Consider the following 21963-nt stretch of genomic DNA (forward strand, 5'->3'; position numbering starts at 1 on the left):
AATATATGCAGAATTATTGAGCTATTGATAAACAATTTATCATAGCATATAATTATTTTTCTACTTGGGTCAGAAAATATGAGTGCCTGGAGCTCTAAAGATAAATCACCCAAGCCTTTGTTCTTCATTTAGGAACTGAGAGTAGTTCGGTATCTCTGAGCTCCTTTGAGTTCATAATCCTCTTAAAGTATCTGAGAAACTACACAACTTCTTCCCCAAAACATGAATGCATTAGCAAAGTATTGAAAGTGATTATGGAATTATTTTTGCCCTACTTAAGTCCTGTAAGACATACTGGGGTACAAACTGTCAGTTATAAGATAAATAAATTATGAGGGTCTAGCGTATAACATGATGGTTATAGTTGACAATATTGTATTTTATACTTGAAATTTTCTAACAGAGTAGATCTCAAGTGTTCTTGTCACCAGAAAAAGAAAAATGGTGACTATGTGAGATGAACAATGCGTTAACTAACATGATTGTGGTAATCACTTCCCAGTGTGTTTGTGTGAGTGTTTATATACGGAATCATTACTTTGCATACCTTACATATATATCAAAAATAAAAGACATACCGTATTTAAAGTCCTGACTCAACTACTGACTGTATACAATTTAGTAAACTACTAACCTCTCTGCAATTCAGTTTCTTCATTGGTAAAGTGGGTGTGACATCACCTATTATAGGGTTGTTAGTAGGTTAAACACCATCAAGTATATAAAATATTTTGCATAGTTTCTAGAATATAGTTTACTGCAAAGAGTGGTAATTTCAGTAACAATAACAATAACTACTTCTACCACTGCGAGTATTCCTGTAATCAACAAACCTTACAACAAACTTTTGAGGTAGATACTAAATGACATGAAAAGAAATTGAAACTCCAGTACACTGGATCGCAGTAAGTAAAAAGGCTGTTATGTGCCAGAACAGGAATCTAAATATCAGTTCTGACTTTACCAAAACTAGTGCACCAACTGGTTAAACATGGTTACTATGCAAACATATGTGAGTGACAGAGTTGAGAAATATACTGGGCTCAAGTTTTGGAGAGTTTTGAATGCTAGGTTTGAGTGTGATTATTATGTAGGAGATAACACAGTACTATGAAAGTCTGACATTGAAATGATATTGCTGTACAGTAATTTGGCCTCAGTATGCAAATATGATTGGAGTATGATGCAATATGAAATGATTGATGGCAAAGAAAGCAGTTAGAAGACTGCTTCAGTAGACAAAGAATTAGGTGATGAGGGCTAAGGTAGTGATGAAGGGAACAGAAAACAGGAGTTGAAATGAGCAATGGAAGTATGTGAGAGTGATATAATGATTTGAAATCATTTTTTGAATTTAGGGGTTATGACCAACAACCATTATTACATTATTACATTACTGTTGGCCATAACCCCTAAATCACCAAATTCCATGTAAAGATCATTTCATATTTTACTCTCATTATTTCCAAAAACAGAAAACTTAACATGGATTTTGATTAGAACTTTCAAGGTTATAATTTTTAAAGGCTGTCCATATAAATTTCATATAGAAATATTTCACATTATTTTCACATAGTACCTTACATTGGCTTTTCTCTGCAAATCTTGCGCTTAAATGAATAATGAATAATTAGCAGGAAATGGTACAAAAGTTTATAAAATGTTTCATACATTTGCTTGTACCAACACATCTAGATTGTAGTTCCCATATGCATTCTGCTATATCTTTCAAGCACTTTGCTGATGTGAGCTTACCCTACAAGAAAACTGCTTGAAGACATACTGTAACACCACTGATACGAAGCTGTTATACATAAGGGCTGGCTCATAACAAGGAGATGGGTTGGCTCTTTTTGAGGAAGGGCATTGAGCTTACTGTCATGCAAAGACACAGAACTGGAAAAGGTATGGCCTTTCTAAATAGCATTCCAGCTGCAAGCTCAAGGTCAGTCTTTACCTGCATGCTGCGGAGAACGGCCTCTGTTTCCTATCAGCCTTTTGAATCCTTCATAAAGTTGGAAGCCAGTACATGCTTGCACAATTGCATATGAGAGGAATAATTAGCAAAACAATTAGTGTATTTTGTTCACAAAATTCCTGCTTTCTAAGCATACACATTTGGACACCAGAAACTTTTTTTATTTTACATTGAAAAAACTTCTGATCCTACACTAAAGAAACAATTCTGATTAAAGCATAAATAAAGGGTAACTTACACAGCAATTGAATTTAAGATGCATTTGGTAGCTTATATCTTAGATGGCCCTAATTTTCCCTACAGCTTGACTAAACTTTAGACAGGTTTTTTTCCTGACCATAAGCTCCAGACTTCCCTTTTCTTAAAACATTTACTATAGGAAACTTTCAAATATAAATCCTTTCTTTGTTACTTTCAGATGTACATATTATCGCAGACTCTTGACAGTTTTACAACCTAGGAATGTCTTTCTCTGGGATTTGGGAGCCATTCTTTGGAATGTAATCATCAAGCAAGATAGAGTCCTCATCTTCCTGTCTCTATGGGAAGGGAGGAGCCTTATTTTGATTAGCAATGATTAGCAAAAAAAGATCTTCTAATCACATTGATAGACCTCCTCTCTATACTTAGTAAAACCAATCATGACTATGGATCCCCAAGAAAATACTGGGAAAGTATTTATAGGCTGTGGAAGGAGGGATCCTAAAGATCTGGATGGTGGTCAGACTCATTTGGGCACATAAACAGACTTAGATAGGTTTTCTGGTTCATTTCCACCTCCTAAAGAAGAATAAATGTTGGAGAATGATTGGGTTTAAATTCCCAGCTCTTGAGGACTAGAATAGAGACCCTCACAGAAGGGATGTACAAATTCCAATATCAAGGAAGTAGCAAGAGAGAATTAACCAGAAATCAAGTGAAAAGATGTTACAGATGTTATAGTTGTGTATTGAGTTACTAGAGTAGGTGTGTATGGCCCTCAGAGTAAACCCATGTAACATGATTCTCTGCACCTGGATATATTTACATACATAGAAGCAACTAACCTATATTCAAGTAAACTGCTTATTTTCTGCAAGTAGGAGATTAAATTAGTAATAGAATTTAAAAGTTGAGGGAAGATAGAATTTTAGTTGTTTTCCAAATTTTGCTATTTTCAGTTCATTGCCACCTAATTCATTTTTTTATATTAGAGACCTGATGGCCTAGGTATAAACAATTTCCTGTTTTTAGAAAACAAAGCAAAAGCTAATGAAAACAACCCTCTATATTCAAGTGTTTGTACAGAGATTAAAAACTTATAAACAAATTTGTTTTTATAAAACATTAATACATAAACAACAGCAAGTATAGTAAAGAAGTGTGATAACTTTATCTTGACACATTCAGATTTCCTGATCATTTCCCTGTGTTCCCTAAGTGAAGCTCTTTTCTGGAAGAGCCTGTTTTGCCAAAAAATATTAAAAAAAAGAAAAGAAAAGGTTGTTTTTTCTATTAATATTTTAGAGTTTTTATTTTTAGTTTTTCTCTAAAGCAACCCTCTTTCCATACTCTCCCAAGCATGTATTTTTTCATAAAGATATACAATAGCAAAACTAGACCAAAATGAGTATACAAAATATAAAAAAATTATAACCTTAGTACCTTAATATAATGATGTATTTTTTAGAGTAGGTTTCACATATATGTATAAAAATTCATAGACAAACAAAAATTGTATATATATATTTCTTTTTTAGCATACTGTGAACCTTATACTTGACAGTGGAACACTTGGCATTAATTTACTGTTGGCCTATCGAGTGATTACCCAGAGCTTGAAATCAACAACTCAGGAATTTCTGACAAAGAGTTATTTATTTTAAATAAGATTTCCCAGCTTGATTAAAGCTATTGATGCTAATAAGAAAAGACAAATGTGTTTGCCTTTCTGCAATTCTCATTTCAGCAGTAACTTGAGCTCATATTTGTTTTCTAAGAATCAATGTAATACATGTAAAGTTTGGCTTGATAAATTATCCTTAATGTATGAATTTAAAAAATAATATGCAAAATCACAAATTCAGTAATTATTTGTGCAGTCAAAATTAGCGAGGATTAACTGAGCCAGTTTATCAAAATATTTTAGTAAAGTAGTGGACTTTAAAATAGACGTGTACATGGCACATACCAATAAAATCAGATGATTCATGCATGGCCTAGTATTCACACAGCAAATTTTAAAACATATTTCAGCATCTTGCAAAAGGATATGATGTAACCTAAGTGTCTTCCTTATCTGCTTTCTTTAGTTTGGATTTAGAGAGGCAGAACTGAAATAGCAAGATAAAAATGGAAATGAAAATTAAAGGACGTTTCTTTTTTTAATGATAGATATACTTTACATTCGTCTGTGGTTTATTCCACATATTCTGTAACTAAAATTCATATTTAAATTATTTCAGTGTAGGTGCAGCAAAATATCTTGTCTTATTTTTATTTAGTAAACAAATATTTGAAAGGCCTGGGTTTTCGCTTAGGAGTTGGCAGACTATTCTGCTGGCAACGTGGTTAAGAATTTCAAATGTTCTGAGGAATGTTTTCTTTCTAGGATACATGACTTGGATGGGAACCATAACCTAAATGTCTTGTGAAATACGTGTGTGTGTGTGTGTGTGTGTGTGTGTGTGGTTTGTAAGTAGAGCAATGAATAAAGCACTTATGTTTCATAATTTTTACAGATTCTAAGGAAATAAATTTGTATAATAACTTCACTGTAGTCTTGGAAATTTCTTCCAGCAAACAGGAACACTTAAAAATGTATTAGAAATATTGACTCAAAAAAAGGCAAGGGATGTAAATCCCTAATTGTGAGATTTCTTTTCCTTTTAATTATGTCTTGATTGCAAAGAACCTAATTAATGGGAAGCAGTTGCTTCATTTACTAAAGGATAATAGCAACATTCATGGGGTACCCATTATGGCCCAGACTCTTCATACAAAAATCTTTTAAGGTAGACGTAATCACCCCAGATAGCGCTTTTAGAAATAAAGGCTTGGTGTAAATAACTTAAAAGCTGGTAAGTGGTACAGGCAAGTTTGTATCCAGGTCTGTTTGAATACAAAGTCTTTCTTCCCTATGCTGAGTATGACTATCTATAGTATTATACACACACACACACACACACACACACAATCTTCCATAAATTTCATCACCTAAACTAACGTAAAAGATATAAATGTAATCTTATGACACAAATGAACAAGAAAAGAATCAATGTTGATACCAAAAAGGACTATCATTTCCTTTGATGTTTGCTCATGGACTGCTAGATTCCATGAATTTTAATAACATACAGCAAGAATATATTGTCCACTGTATGCCCAACCAGAAACACACACTATTCATAGGAGATACAAGAGTCTCCAAGGAATTTACTGTGCTCTGCTAGACAACATCTACCATCCTATACCATATTAATGGAGTGTTAACAAAACATCATTATTATCACAGTACTTTATTGGTCGAAATCCTAAAATAGTTTCTTATTACAGTTGAAATTACTCATTAAAAACTACCTTTCATAATCTGGTTTAGACTTTCCTATCCAACCCATCTGTCACTATTCACCCACACGTAGCTTAATTCTTAATAGTTCCCCTAACAAACCATAATAATTTTTACCCCTCTCACTTTCTTCATTGGAATACCACAACACATATAAAAGTGATGAAACATTTGCCCCTCTTCTCTCATTGTTGAAAGTTTTAGTATGTTTTATTTTGATCAAACAACCTTGGATGGTCAAGGTTAACACATGAGAATTGAACTGTTTATGAATGATTCCATTCATTACATTATGTCGTTTATTGCTGCAAGGGATATGTCTTCTGCAGAGGTAGAATTTCCCTCTGAAATTGCTTTGACTATTTTCACATACTCCCTCTGGCCTTGTCCTGCTCTATTTTGTTAGTTATCCTTACAGTGAAGTGATTTTTACCAAAATCTATTTTAGCTGTGGAGAAATAGAGATTTTTTAAAATATGCCATTAAATTACTCGTACATCCCTTTGTGAAAAGTAAAAAAAATAAAGATTGTGTATATACGTAAGAATAAATTTCAATACTTGAAAACCCTTGGAAAGACTCTTTAAAATACGATTTTTCAATTGTACTTCATAAACAACTTCAAGAATGATAATATTGTTTAAGTTAGCCATTGCTACATAACAAATCCACAGCTTAAAACAAAAGTCAGTGATAGTCTTACAATTTCTAAGGGTAGAAATATGAGAGAAGTTTAACTGGGTTGTTCAAGATCAGATTTTTGTGAGGTTTCAAACTGTTGGCTGGAGCTGTCAAAAGGTTTGACTAGGGGAGGCTCTGCTTCAAAGCCCAATTAGGACGTGTTGGCAAGCTTTGGATCCTGCTATCTGTTGGACAGAGATGTGGTCCTCACCATGTGGGCTCTTTTCACATGTTGGCTATGACATGTCATCTGGCTTCCTCCATAGTGACTGATGAGACAGACAGAAAGACTGCCTGCACTGGAACCTGCAGTCATTTATAACCTAATCTTGGAAGTGATTCACCATTACTTCTTCCATAGTCTATTCATTAGATGTGAGCCACTTTGCCTAGCTTACACTCAGGAGGAGAGGATTATACCAAGGCATAATTATCCAGAGGTGGCTCACTGGTGGCCATTTGGGGGCTGGTTACTCCAACACCAGTAACAATAGTGAATGCTACCACTTGAAGCAATTTCTGGGTTTTAGATATTGTACTAGGTGTTTGCACTCATTGTAATATGTATGCAAGGGAAAGTCTTCCATCTAAGTTTTTCCTATGAAGAAACTGATACTCAGGAATGTTAAATAAATAACAAGGAGTACTGCTAATCACTGGTAAAGCCAGGATTCAAACCTAGGTCTACTGTATTCAAAGTCAGCAATTTTTCTCCCCTTTAACACTGTACCTTTTTTTTCTTCTATGATAATAGAAAATGATCTAAACTGTAATGATTTTTATTCCACATACTGTTTTGGGAATTCATGTTACTTAAGCAGAGAGGAAAAAAGAATCGTATTGAATTATCTTGCCATTACCTTTATTAAATTTGATTCTTAAGAAAAAAAATACAAGCTTCAAAATCTGCTACTTTTCAACATGACACTTAGATAAAGAAAAATTATACAGCTCTGACTTGCTAAATTTTGAAATGAAGTGTTTATGCTCAGAACTGTTCTCCCAATAATCAGGCAGAAATACAGGGCCCTCTTTATCATTGTCTTGTCCACTAGGAGTTTTCAATAACCCTCCTCAGTTACTGTTCTACAAAGGCTGGAGAATCAGGAGCTAGTGATGGGTAAACTGAACTTTTAATGTTTGAGTTATAGGATTTGTTTATATCTGAAGAATATGTTCTCTATTCATTTTGCTACAGTAGTCACATTCCTTACATGCTATAATGAGTAATTCAGTCATCCTTCTCTACCTTTGACAAAGAGATTATGCAGACATATTTTCATATTAATGACTCTTAAGTCTTAGTAGCCATTTTTTGACAAAAAAAATTAGAGCTTAAAATAATGATGCAGAATTAAATACAACACTTAGAACCTGAATTAACAATGTGACAGACATTATTAAAATTTTAATATAAAAATTCACTGGTTTTCTCTAATTATCATGGTTCGCATTATAACTATCATATCATCATCTAACATATTAATTATAATCACTTTTTGTCATTTTGTATCCTGCTGACCTTCATCTTGCAATATAATCTTCAAGTTGAAACATATAAAAAATAAAAGGAAAGAAGGTAGATTGCAATTCAGTATCAGTATACACAGCATTAAGCACAGTTTTCTGTTGTAAATAAAATGGAATGTAAAAACAAAGAAAAGATAACTAATTAGAGCCTCCAAAAGCAGACATCTATTTAAAAAGGAAGACACTCCTGTAGAGAGATGTAAAACACTTGTGGAAAAATGTGCATATGAATATGCAATTTTAAATTATTTTATAACATATGCTTCTTAGCAGCTAATGAGAAACTCTAACTCCAGCAATATGTCACCAATTCTAACAAAAATAATAACCATAAGCAATTGCTTTCAAAATCCCAGAGTCTCCCTTGGTCCACTAAAATATTAAAGACACGTAGCTCTTAGATTATTAAAAGCATCTTTCTTCACACTTACATAGATAAAGAAATTTTGTTTTTATTCCTCTTTCCTTATATATTCAATATCCAGTAAGGTTTAATTCAACTTCAAACTTGAAGATATTCAAATTTTTATAAAATATGTACCTAGAACAGATCTTCCCAAGAAACTATTTTTACTCAGAGAAGTACCTGTATTTTCTACACACTTTATTTTCTATTTTGTAAGCCAATTTTTTTTTCATAAAAAAGGGGTTAGGTTTTGGGGTCTTTGGTATTATACACTGTCAAAGATTTATGAATGTCTAAATAATTTTAAACCATGTATCTATCTCCTCTCTATATATTTTTCTAACTTTCCTCTCAACACATTCCAATTAATTCATCAAGTATTATCCTTTCTAGAGACAATGTTGCTGTTTCCCCTAGCAGCTTATTTAATACAAATGTTCTTTGTACCCATCCCTTATTTTTTTTCTACTACCTTGCTTGGCTAGACATGTGTGTGATCCACTAATCTTTATTTTTCTTCGCCACCTTATGAAACACCTAGATCTGATGCCACTGATATATGTAGGTTTATTTTTATGTATTGTTCTAAAATATCATAAGATTGATAGCTATCTGATTGGTAATTCTTCAGTCTGTTCATGTTTGGAAAAGAATATTAACAGAATTTTCCCAAATAAGCTTTTTCATCATTAAAAAAAGGATAAGAAATAAATCTTTCCTTTTCCTATAATGAATTCACTATCTCACAACTATTCCATTGAATTTTTATATGATTCTCTTCCTTTGAGCTACTTTAAAGCTCTTTTTATTAATCTTTTAGTCCTTTACAAGTTCCTAATCAAAGTTTATTTCAGCCAAACTTAATTCTACTACATGCATTTATTCATTAAGCAAACATTTATTGAGTATTAGATTAAGTACATTGACCTGACTGTTAATGAGCTTAGTCTGATAAGGGAGACTGATAAACTCAAAAATACAAATAGCTAAAAATCACAGAGATATCCTTTCAATAGCCATATGCTTAGCATCTAAAATGCTGCAAGCACAGTGGCTTCTGAGGTCAATAAAATAAGGTCCCAGTTTAAGTCTATAATAGATAGATAGGTAAGCAAACTCAAGGATATTTTACAAGTGTTGCAGGTTCTAAGACAGAAGTATGTACAGGCTAGTAAAGACTCAGATGAAATGAACAGTTCTATTATGATTTTGTTGTGGGACTGAGTCTTGGGGTTTAAAACTGGAGTCAGGGTGACCAGTTGTGCTCTAATCAAAATGCCTGTGTAAGAAATAATGAACTAAGGTAAAAATGTCATGGATGGCAAGTGTCATGGATGACATAACAGACATATAAAGAGGAGAATCGACGTAACCATGTTATTGTGGAGAGAAAATGAGATAACGGACAAATTAACAAACCAAACACAAACAAAAAAATCCAGGATAATACCAGGTTTCTGGTTTGGACAATTACATGATGATATATTAACAAAGGCAGACAATATAAAAAACTATAGCAGGTCTGGGGACATGAAAAGTTAACTTTTGAATTTATTCAGATGAGATTCCTATGGAACAGTGAAATTTGGGTTTGGAACTCTCGAAGAAAAACCGACTCAGTATTAATGCTCTTACAGGTTTTTATTATATAAGTGGGTTAAACCATAGCAATAAATAAACAGGCAGAAAAAAGATACAGAAAGATTACAAAAGAAAGGATAATAAAATCCATGGGTCAAAATGTAGAGGCACATGGAAAAAGGAAATCTTGAAGAAGAGTAACTCGGAATAGTTCAAACAGTAGAAGACAGAGTGAGTAGCCTACTGGGAAGTTAAAAAGAGCTAAACTTTTTAATAAAGTAGAGGTTAAATAAAATTAGATGTCAAGAAAGAGATGACTAAAAAAGGTTCATGGATTTGACAACTAAGATACAAGGATGACCTCTGACAGGAGCCTGGAAAACTCCAGTTGAGAGTGTAGGAGGAGTGAAATAGACACTAAGCACTGTAAGAGCTTGACTACAAACTGCAGAGGTCTGCCATATTGTGTGGGTTCCCATGTCTTTCTCAATTTAATCAAATTAAAAACTTTAATTTTCATTAATGTAAAATGTACATACTATAAAACTGCACAAATCTTAAGTGTACAGGTCAGTTGATCATCATAAATTGAAAACCCTATGTAATCAATTCCCAGATCAAGAAATTGAATGTTACTGGTAATCCATCTGCTTGAGTCTCCTTCTTGGTTGCTACATCCCCAAAGGAACGGTTATCAGAGCCTGATAACCACAGATTAGGGTGCTCATTTTTGAACTTCATATTAAATAAATTCATATTAAACAAAATACATATTAATTATATATTAAATGAATTAAATTCATATTAAATACATTAAATAAAATGAATTCATATTTAATATGAATTAAATTCATTTAACTCATTCCACTGAATAAATAAATGGTTTATATTTTTGGTGTTGATAAATATTGGAGTTGTTCTGGTTTGGCACTATTAAAAATAGCAATGCTATGAATATTCCACTACATATGTTTTCATACACCACACCACATTATACCATTACATTCACTCCCCACCCCCTACTAAAATACTTGTTCAACAGACATGCATATATTCAGCTTACATAGTGACAAACAGTTCTAATACATATGTTTGTGTATGTGTTATATACATATTTTTTTTCTCCTTTTCCAGGACTGTATGGAACTCCATCTGTTCCACATTCTCATGAACAATTGAATAATTGTTATCATCAATATTTTTATTAGCTATTCTGGTGGATGAGTGATATCACATTGTGACTTAGATTTTCCAGATGAGTAATGATGTTGACAAATTTTCATACGCTTATTTGTATACTCTTTTTTTGTGAAATGCTCGTTGAAGTCTTTTATCTATTTTCATATTGGGTTACCTATTTCTTTTTGCCATTTTGGAGTTGTCTGTTTACATTTAGGACTGTAAAGGGTCTGAGACTTGCCCTATTTTAGAGGCAACTCCTCCCCCCCAAAACCCAAACACTTCTGGTCCCAATAATTTGGAATTTTGGATAAGGAATACCGAACCTGTACTTCTTTAAATACGTTAAAGCTGTCAATATCACTGTCTTTTAACTTTCAATGCTGACATTGAGAAGTCAGGTGCCAATTTTATTTTTATTCTCTTAAACAAATGTGCCTTCATTTTTTTGCCTCTTCTGACTGCATTTAAGATGTTCTCTTTGGATTTAACTAGTTTTACTATGACATGTCTGAGTAATAATCTTTGTATTCAATGTGATTGGGGTTCAAACACTTGTTCAGTGGTGTGATGTTTTTCATCTGTTTTAGAAACTTTCCTGCAATTTTCTCTTTATACATTGCTTTCATTCTTTTTTCTCCACTTTCTCACATTTGAAGTATCTTAATTTCATAGGTGTTAGATGTTTTTTCATTGTGTCCTATATGCATGTCTCTACTCATTTTGCGCTCCCTCTCTTCTGTCTTCTTGATTTCTTTGTGCTTAAGCCTGGATATTTTCTATTTTCTTGATATTGGAAGATAGACACTAGTCTCTTTCAATTCACATATCTTGTCTTCTATTGTGCCCATTCTTCTATGAAATACATCTATTGAGTTGTTAATTTCAGTTATTGTATATTTTTAGTTCTAGGGTTTCTATTTGATCCTTTGCAATATATTTCATTTAACAGTTGAAATTGCAACCTCAAATCTACTTTTTAGTTATATATGTCACAATTATTTTAAAGACTGAATGATAATTCCAACACCTGAATCATGTGTGTATGTGTTTTTTTTCCTAGGTCTAGTTTCTTTTGGATGTCTGGCAATCTTACTGAATACCAGGCAGTGTGCATACATATTGGGGAGAAGCTGGATAATATTTTCATCTATATTCATCCTATCCTCTGAAAAAGACTTAAAATTGGGCAAATCACCTGTGTCCTATTGGAGACTGAGGAGTCTGGTTACATTCTCTTTAAGACCCTGTTCTAAGGCTGACTCTCTAGATGTCCCAACTGTGCTAATGTAGTGCTTCCCTAGAGTATAGGGCCTAACAGGCCCTATACTCTAATTTTCGTAGCCTCACAACCATGAGCCAACTGAAGACTATTTTGTGTTTCAGTGGCTTTTTGACTGGCTCTTAGATTTTCATCCAGTGCAGGCTATGAGTTTGGTAAAACCTTGAAAGGAACAATAAATAGTATTGGAATTTACATCTTGGTGCTTCCCTACTCTCACGGATCTTGGCCCCTTAATCGTGGCTTCCTTCATGGCCTCACACTCCAATTTGTTGTCTCCTTATCTCCAGAAGATTCCTAAAAGTTATCTTGGCTTCTCTGTAAGATAGTATCAACCCTCAACCTGAAGTCTCAACCAGAATTGGCAAATGTCCTAAGATCACCTAAGTATGTAAGCTCACCTTTCTTTGGTTCCTTTTTCACCAGGATCTTCACATCTCATGTCTTGGATATCCTGGTGGTTCTCTTATATCTCTGAATACACACACATACACATATACATATACATACATATGCATGTTATTTTATCTGTCTTTTCTTGATCTCAATGGGAATGTTGGTTTGCTATAAGCTCTGTCAACATAGCCAAGGCATTTATGTTTTTCAGGTTCACTCAATCACTTTTTTGACTTTGCCAGTGAGCAATAAAGGCATTTGAAAATGTTTCTGGTAACTTAAATTCTAAACATATTTTGGGACATAAAAATGTTTTTCTGCTAAATTATCTCTAGGTTATTTTGTCACCAAATAATAAATTCTTCACTTACAGCTGATTGTTCAGATGCTGACATTGTCTATGTCTCATTTGCATTATCTTTTTCTGTAGAAAAATTACTACACATTCTCATAATAAGCACATCTTCCAATTTATGCTCAATCATCTGTTAGTTCCCCTTATAGCTTTGCAAATTTACCTCAGCATTTTTCTTCTTCAGTGAATTTAGGGTCCTTAAAATTTCAGGTGCTTCTCAATATATTCTCTTCTCAAACAATTTATGATAGGTCATCGGCGTATCCCATTATTAAATACCCCTAGTCAGGTGAGTATACTACCCCATCTCTCCTTTAGGTTATTCCACTTAAACTCACAGTAATTCACACTTGGGCATTACTCAAACCATCATTTAAGACTCTAGTAAAAACATTTGGAAAGAAAAAAGAGACATGCCATTTATACATATGTAGGGAGCTTTTGTATTCTCTGTCTACACAGTCTACGTATTTATTGACTTTCTTTCCACAAAACATGGGAAAAGCAGGGATAATTGCCAGTTTTTTTACCCTCTTCTTTATTTTCTGATATGAGCAGAAGAATCAAAGTTAATAGCATTCAATTTTTATATAGCCATTAATTACTGAATAAATATAATGTTAATGTTAATTAAAAAATTGGCCATGTTTCAATTAGTAATTTGTATACATTTTCCCTACCTCTTCTCTATGCTTTTACTTTCAAAATATTGCTATACTTCTTTGTCTTGAATGTTTTAGTTAATTTCATAGAAAACAGGAAATTTAAATTCCTATTTTCCTAGGTAATTTAAGTTCCTATTTTCTTAGGTAATTTCCTAGAAAATAACCTTCTTTTCTTTTTTTAGAAAGCTATGTTATTTATCTAATGCTGTATCACTGATCTCTAAAAATTTACTGCATTTTAACAACAATAATCGTTTGCTATATTTCCTTAATGTTCTGGGCCAGGAATTTGGAAAAGCCTTGGCTAGGGAGTTCTACCTTGGGGGTCTCTAGAGAAATTGCAATTTGATACGGTCTGGGTCTGCATTCTTCTCTAGACTTGACTGAGGCTGGAGTCTACTTCAAGGTAAGTGGCTCACTCACAGAACTTGCAAATTGGTGTTGGCCACTGGTGGAAGTCTATCTCCACTTGGGTCTCGGGTCTCATATGGCCTAGGGTTCTGTGAAACACAGTGACTGTACTCTAAAGTCAAATATCTTGAAGAGAAATAAAAGAGTAAGAGAGTAAGAGAGGGAGAGACAGAAAGGGTTAGCTCTAGTTAGAAACTATATCCTTTTTATGACCTAGTCTCAGAAGTCACGTAGCATCACTTCTACCACATTCTATTCATTAGAAGGGAGTCACTAAGTATGACTCATATTCATTGGGAGATGAATTAGAATCTATGTTTCAATGGGACAAGTGTCAAAGAATTTGTAGATATATTTTAGAAGCACCACAACAGCCACATGTGCCTTAAACTCAAATTATAATTTATTCAATTATGGAAACTGGGAAGATGAAATTAATCTGGTTCCTGCTGTTGCTATGAATAACATCCTACTGAATGATTTTTTTGGTGAGATATTGAATATATAACTAAGTTCTTTTTAATATTTTCCTATATTTTTCAAAAGTCTTAATAACCTTATTAAGCATATTTCATAACATTTTGATTAGAAAGAACTGCTGCCTACAAGAATTCAGAAAACCAATTATTTCATATCAAAATTTGTAAAAAGAAAATAGATAAAATACTGTCTGCAAAATCAGACTCTGCGCTTAAAGAAATTAAGAAATGTATTCTACATATTACAATAGGGAAAATTTAAAACTCCAAAAACAAAAGGAGGTTCTATGTGAAAAGTCATCAAAATTAAAATATCATTAGGATCAAATTTGAATACTAGTCCTTCCCAGTTTATCAATAAAATATTTTTGTGGAACAGAATAAATGTAATGCAACACAGAGAAAATAACTGTAACTGCTAGCCTGGTACCCAAATTAAGTGAAAGGTACTCTCCATACGCAAGTCGAAGGGAGACAGCCTCCTTATAATTTCTTGTGAAAAAAGTTTGGCTCTCTCCCACTTCCTGCAAATGACCAAGTGGAAGGAAATGAAATAATCAATTAATATCCTTTCTATTTAAAGATGTCTTACAAATTAATGAAAATAACTCAGTAGAGTAGTCTAATAGGCACAAAGGCAGAAAATAGCTAGTGAAAATTCACAAAACACATACAATGGAGTAATACACACAAAATATGTGCCTTTCAGTATTAAGAAAGTATATAAATCAGTGAAATTAAATTTTTATCTATTAGATTGGTCAAGGTGAAAAAAATCAGGTATTTAGCTGGAGTTAATACTCATGTGGATAGCTTCGAGTGGTTGAATCTGTGTGCCTGCTGTGCAGCCATCCTATCTGGGTATACAACCTGAATCCCCACCTACAACTATTACCTCAGACACATTATCTAATTCTTTGTGTTTCACTTTCCTCATCTGTAAAGTTAAGATAATAACAGAATCTACTTAATAGAGGTACAGTGATGATTAAATAAAAATTCACCTATGGCACTTAACAGAATTTGATATTCAGTAATACTATTATTATTTGCAATTTATTATTTTCACCATTACTTTCATAGTTATTGTCATGTTCAGGGTCAAATGGACTGTCCCTCTTACATATTACTGGTAGGAGTATAAACTTGCTCTGCATTTCTGAAAAACAACATAACAACATATTAAGTTCTTTAAAAATGTTCATGCTCCTTGGTCAAATAATTATGTGACTCTATTCTAAAGAAATAGCTAGAGTGGTAAACTAAATTTTATGCACATAAATATGTTTTTTTTTTTTTGAGACAGAGTCTCGCTCTGTCGCCAAGGTTAGAGTGCAGTGGCACCATCTCAGCTCACTGCTGCAACCTCCACCTCCTGGGTTCAAGCAATTCTCCTGTCTCAGCCTCCCAAGTAGCTGGGACTTAGGCGCACAGCTAATTTTTTTTTTTGTATTTTAGTAGAGATGGGGTTTTACCATGTTGCCCAGGCTGGTCTTGAACTCCTGAGCTCAGGCAATCCGCTCGCCTCAGTCTCCCAAAGTGCTAGGATTACAGGCGTGAGCCACCATGCCCGGCCATAAATACGTTCATTACAGTATATCTAAGAGCTAAAATTAGAGATAACCTGAATTTTCACCATTAAAATAATCCTATTATATTCAATCACATGCCAGAATATTATGACTCATTAGATATTAGTCATCAGACATATTTTAAAGCTATATATTAGTCATTAGACATATTTTAAAATTATGAACAATACACAACAATTGTACATATAGCTGCCCAGATTTACATCTCTGCTTTATCTAGTAATTAATATATATCTACTGAGGAAAGTGATTAAATTTATCAGACCTGCAGTGGTTATCTTTGAGTGAAAGTCTTAAAGATTTTAATAATTTTCTAACTTCCAGTTTTAAAAAAATTTACACAAAGATATTGTTTATATGATTAAAAATATTATAAACCATATTACAGTGAAAGATTTACTAGAAATTATGGGTTTAATGATAAATCAAAATGTGCAGTTGGCACTGTAGTTACCAGGAAATAAACTGTTTTAATATTTATTTTAATATTTATTATTTACCAGGTATTGAAGTAGGTGGATTGTCATATTTAACTTGTTTAAATGGTGATTGTATCCTTTTCAACTACCACTATCTTCCCCACCCTACACGTTAAAAAAGAAAAACAAAGGCTTGGTCAGTTTAAGGGATGTTAAATACAGAAGAATTAATTCTCGATTGTTCTATTGTCAATAGATGTGATATCAGCATTGAGAAAAATAGCAAGTCTTTATCTGAAGACTAATAATCATTTTGTCCCTCATCTGTATGAAATGGAGATGTATGGATATAGATATATCAGAGTGGGTATCTGCCTAGATCGGTATTTTTGAAGAAGAAAGATTTTGACAGAGCCCATTATGTCAAATCTAAAAAGAACAAGGCAGGCATCAGACTGCATCAGACTGCATTGTCTTGAATTTAAAATATCTCGGTAAATTAACATCACATATCTGGGTCAATCTGAATAGGAAGGGTGGTGGTACTCAGAGTGGTACCACAGAAATAAGAGGTTGAGGCTATTTAGGAAAATGAAGTAAATACATTTTGGTATGCTATAAATAAATCATGGCAATTTAGGTTAGTTAAGATTAAATTATATAAGTTGATAATAAACCTAGATAAAGAGAAGTGTTTCCCAATGCTTTCTCAAAGACTCTTTTATTTTCTTCCGTATCTTCAGCATAAAGTGTGAAGAGTTCTACTTGAAGTCCTTCTACTACTTGAGTAAAATCATTGTTTTAGATATATTGAGCAAATGCAAAACTTATAATCTATTCTGTCTAAAAGTTTATTCTGTAAAGTACATCACCTCTAGTTTGATTTTATTTATTGCATAAGAATTCATTATGTTCTTAAGATAGTCAAGGAAACGTGCTATATATCTTGCATGCCACAAACTTGCAAAGGAAGGTGTAAAGTTATAAGGAGAAAGTGATTAGGAAAAGATTTTAGGTTGATTAGATAAGGGTCTTGAGGGACTGAACAGGAGTTTATGATGGAAGGAAGTGGGCATAAAATGCAGTCATTGTTTTTAAGGCAGAAATTCATACAGAAACAATAACTGAAATTAAGAGGTAGAAAAGACCTACAAATATAACTAAATAAACTGATTTCAATATTAGTAAATTAAGATGCATTGTTATTTACTGAGGCCAGGAATCAGATTGGAAACTTAAGTCTAAAAAGTTTAAATTATACCCAATTTAATTTCTCTGAATCATCTTCCTAAGAAATAACATACATAAGAGAAATGTACATTTCTCCAACGTTTCCATTAGATAAAAACCATTAATCCCTGTCATCTGGCTAAAATTTTGTCAATAAACTGTGCCAGTAAAATCACTACCTCAAAACAAGCTCTAAATAAAAAGCTTTTATAGGTAAAAAACTTTCACTTTAAACAGGGGCTATTGACTCTGGTTTAATGTATAATCATTAAAAAGTACTTAATATGCATACAAATGCATTTTCTTGTTAGTATTTCCTTCGTCACTGTCCCGAATGAGTAAACATACCAGAGCTAAATGATGCCGTTTTCTTGATCTAATATTCTATCCAACAGACATTTAATAACAAAATTAAATTTTTTAGGTGGCTATAAAAAATCAGGCAGTTGGCATACAAAAAGAAAGTTCTAACAAAGTGCCAATTTTACTCTAAAAAATAACCTAAATTACAATATTTAAAATTTTTGTTTAATTTATACATGATATGAAGTATCCTGTATAGGTATATATGTATATGTGTGTGTATGTATCTGGATAATGTATATTATGAAGGGAAAAAATAATAAAGTCTGGTTTAAAAAATTAAAATGAAAAAATTAGAGACTTTTATCTAATTTTAGCAAATTTAGATTGGATAATTTATATAGAGAGAGACTAATATAATATGGGAAAATAATAAAGTTCCATTTTATATATGTAAAAATAAGGTAAGAGTAATTGGAATTAAGTTATTATTTTGAGATTTCTTCTTCAATACTATACTATATGAAACAACTTTTTCAACTCTGAAATTGAATAACTCAGTGTTAAATAAAAAACAAGTTTTTTTCTGTTATGAATGAGCAAATTTAAAATTCAATATATCCAAGATACAATTTAAGACATCACAATTTTTAAAAACCTGTAAGTGGTGAGTTTAACAAACATGAAATACAATTGCTACAGAGAAGTCAGGAAGAGTTCTTGCTCTTGGGTCAGATGGAGTTAACAGAATTTTCTCACTGAATAAGTCAATTCCTGCAGTTAAAAAATTGCTTCTTACGTATGCTTATATATGTTTTATTTTGTAGAATAATCTAATTTAAATAAAACCCGCAATTGCCTGTAGAGTGTCTTCAAACACTATTCTATTTTTAATACCCCATAAGTCTCTAGAACAGTCACATGTCAGTTAATGATGGGGATAGGCTCCAAGAAATGTATTAGGTGATTTTGTCATTGTCCCAACATTAAAGTGGACTTACACAAACCTAGATGGTAGAGCTTACTACACACCTAGGCTATATGGTATAGCCTGTTGCTCCTAGGCTACAAACCTGAACAGCCATGTTCCTGTGCTGAAAACTGTAGGTAACTGTAACACAATTATAAATATTTGTGTATCTACATTAACATATCTAAAGAAAGAAAAGGTACAGGAAAAAATGGTATTATAATCTTATGGGAACATTATCATATGTAAGGGCCATCATTGTCCAAAATACAATTATGTGTCACATGACTATATACATTTTGAAATAAATAATAGTAATAGTATGGGAGATAATATCGAAAAAAGGCCATAAAACAATTTCAATAGAGAAATAAGCTCAGAACAGGTTCATACTGAACCCTCATATTTTACACCTTAATAGATCTCATATCCTGCAACATGGGTAAAATATTTTAAATTATAGGCATACTCATTTTATTCCCTTGTTGAAAAGCATTTAGTAGATTCCAATGGGCCCTAAGAGAAATACAACCTCATTAGCACGTCACTAACTAACTTCAACAAATGGGATAAAAGCAATCTTCTTAGTCTTCATGTTATTACTACTATTCACTCTTAATTACCTTGTCTTCTAGACCAGTGATTCTCAACTGAGGATGATTTTACCTCCTAGGGGACAGTTAGAAAAGACTGAAGATATTTGGTTGTTGTAATTCAGAAATGCTACCAGTATCTATGGATAGAGGCCAGGAATATTGCTAAACATCAAGCCTGTAATGTATAGGAACATCTCTCTTCCTACCCCAACAATGAATTATCTGTTCCAAAACACCAATAGTGCTGAGGTTGAGAAATGCGGTTCTAGACAAACATTCCTAATCATTTTTAATATCATCTTTCCCATATAGTTCTTTTGCCTTAACATTTCTTTCTTCCCATTTCTCTTTGTCAAAATTACACTTTTCTTTCAATTCTCAATTCAAATGCTCCTTTTTGCATGAAAACTTCAATTCAATGTGATGGGTAAAATTCAGTTAAGATAAAATATTTTTGGGTTCAATATGCTCAGCAAGACTCTATGATATTAGTAATTATAATTAGATACATACAGCAAAATATACCTTATATGTAAATTATAAAACATAATAATAACATGCATCTGAAAATCTGCCATCCCAACTTGAAAACAGAATATTGCCGACTCCTTTACATCTACTCATGTATTTTTGTCCTTATTCTACTCTTCTACCTCCCTCAAAACTAATCACTATCCCAAAATTTGTGGTATCCTTTGCTGTTTCGAAAAGCACATTTATATGCCTATATCCACATGGAACATATATTTTGTTTTTGAACCTTAGAAAAAATGTCATCATATTGTATCTAGTCTTTTGCAATTTGCCCTATTCACTCATTGTTGTTTGTAAAATTCATCTAGATTGTTGCTTGCAACCATAGTACTATATTTCTGTGTACACTTAGTATTTGTAAATAAATAAGAATTTTATATATTCATTCTAGGAACATTTAAATGATACTTCTTTTTTTGGCTATTAAAAGCAATTATGGCATGAAAACATTCTGGTATATATGTACTAACGTACAGGGGCAAGGCTTTCTTTAGAATGTCAATAAACCAAAATAAAAAAAAAAACTATTTGGTAAATATTTATGTAAATGTTCAATTTTATTAGGTTTTTGCCAAACTTTTCCCCAACTGTTTGAACAATTTATACTCCAAATTTTTCCCCAACTGTTTGAACAATTTATACTCCTATATAGCAGGTATAAATGTTCTTGCTGATTCACATCTTCACTGTCACTTGCTATAACATTTTGTATATAAATTATTATAAACTACAGATAGTAGAATTTTAATTTATTACAACAACTTTACTTTGTAAGTGGCAAGTTTAGTTCAATTATATTCATTGTGGTTACTGATATGTTTGAAATTTTAAAATTATATTATCACCTGATCACTTTACTTGCTTTCTTATGCTATAATTTCCATCTTTCTAAAAACTATAGTTTTTTCTGATGCAATTTTAAATTTATTTTGGTTTTCTTCTATTGTTACCTCCTCTACTATCGGTTATCCTTGAAGATTTACTATGCCCACTTAACATAGTAAAAAATTAATTCCTTAACGCTAAAATAATATAAGGATCTGAGAATATTTTAATTCTCATGTTTTATGGTTTACATGCTATTATTATCCAATAAACTTTTCTTTTTAGTTACACAGATTACACATTGTTATTAATGTGTGCATGCAATGTTTATTACTTTCTTTCATCAATATTATTTCATCTAAGTTTTTTTCTAGGAATCTTTTCTTTCTCCTTATACTTCATGTCTCAGAAATTTGTGAAGAACTGTTAAGTGAATGGTCAACTGCCTCACTTTTTATACTTTTTTTTCATTTCATCCTAACCTTGGAAAGAGTTTTGCTGGGTAATTCTAGGTTGAGTTATTTTCTTTTGGCATTTGAATATATGCCACTGTCTTCTTGACTCTCCAGTGACTATGGGAGTTTCCTGTGAAATTGTACCTAATGAGTCTTTTCTATCTGTTGGTTTGGAAAAATCCTCTCTTTGGTCCACAGTAGTTACTATAAAATATGTGTTTGTGTGTGTGTGTGTGTGTGTGCATGCACGCCCCTAGTTTATGCTGCTTTGAATATATTGAGCTTCCTCTATATGTGGATTCATATTTTTACTTCTAGATAATTATCAACAAGTATACTTTGCACTTTGCATACTCTTTCCCCCGTTTTCTCCTTCTGGGACTCCAATTGTATTATATTACATCATTTTGTACTATTTTCCGTATCTCCTAACCTTTCACATTTCCTATCTTTTTTACTCTCTATACTGCAAATTGCAGATTTACTATCTGCAAATCTATCCTTTTGTTCACAAAATATTTTTTCAACCAATCCTAGCCTGCTATTCAA

The 21963-nt window shown here is 32.4% G+C and overlaps 1 protein-coding gene across 2 annotated transcripts in view; it reads right to left on the minus strand.

The window, feature by feature from the left end:
- The window catches only part of MMP16 (matrix metallopeptidase 16), a 295473-nt gene that overhangs the window by 94133 nt on the left and 179377 nt on the right, over positions 1-21963 (minus strand). The window contains exon 1 of one of the 2 annotated variants that reach the window (XM_024447154.2): positions 1958-10452. The exons of the other annotated variant lie outside the window; for it this stretch is intronic. The gene's annotated coding sequence lies outside the window, so the exon portion shown is untranslated. Of the gene's footprint in view, positions 1-1957; positions 10453-21963 lie in introns of those variants that run through there. 2 annotated transcript variants of the gene reach the window in all.

The sequence above is a fragment of the Homo sapiens genome, chromosome 8 (assembly GCF_000001405.40).
Source record: "Homo sapiens chromosome 8, GRCh38.p14 Primary Assembly".
In the NCBI taxonomy this organism is placed as follows: Eukaryota; Metazoa; Chordata; class Mammalia; order Primates; family Hominidae; genus Homo; species Homo sapiens.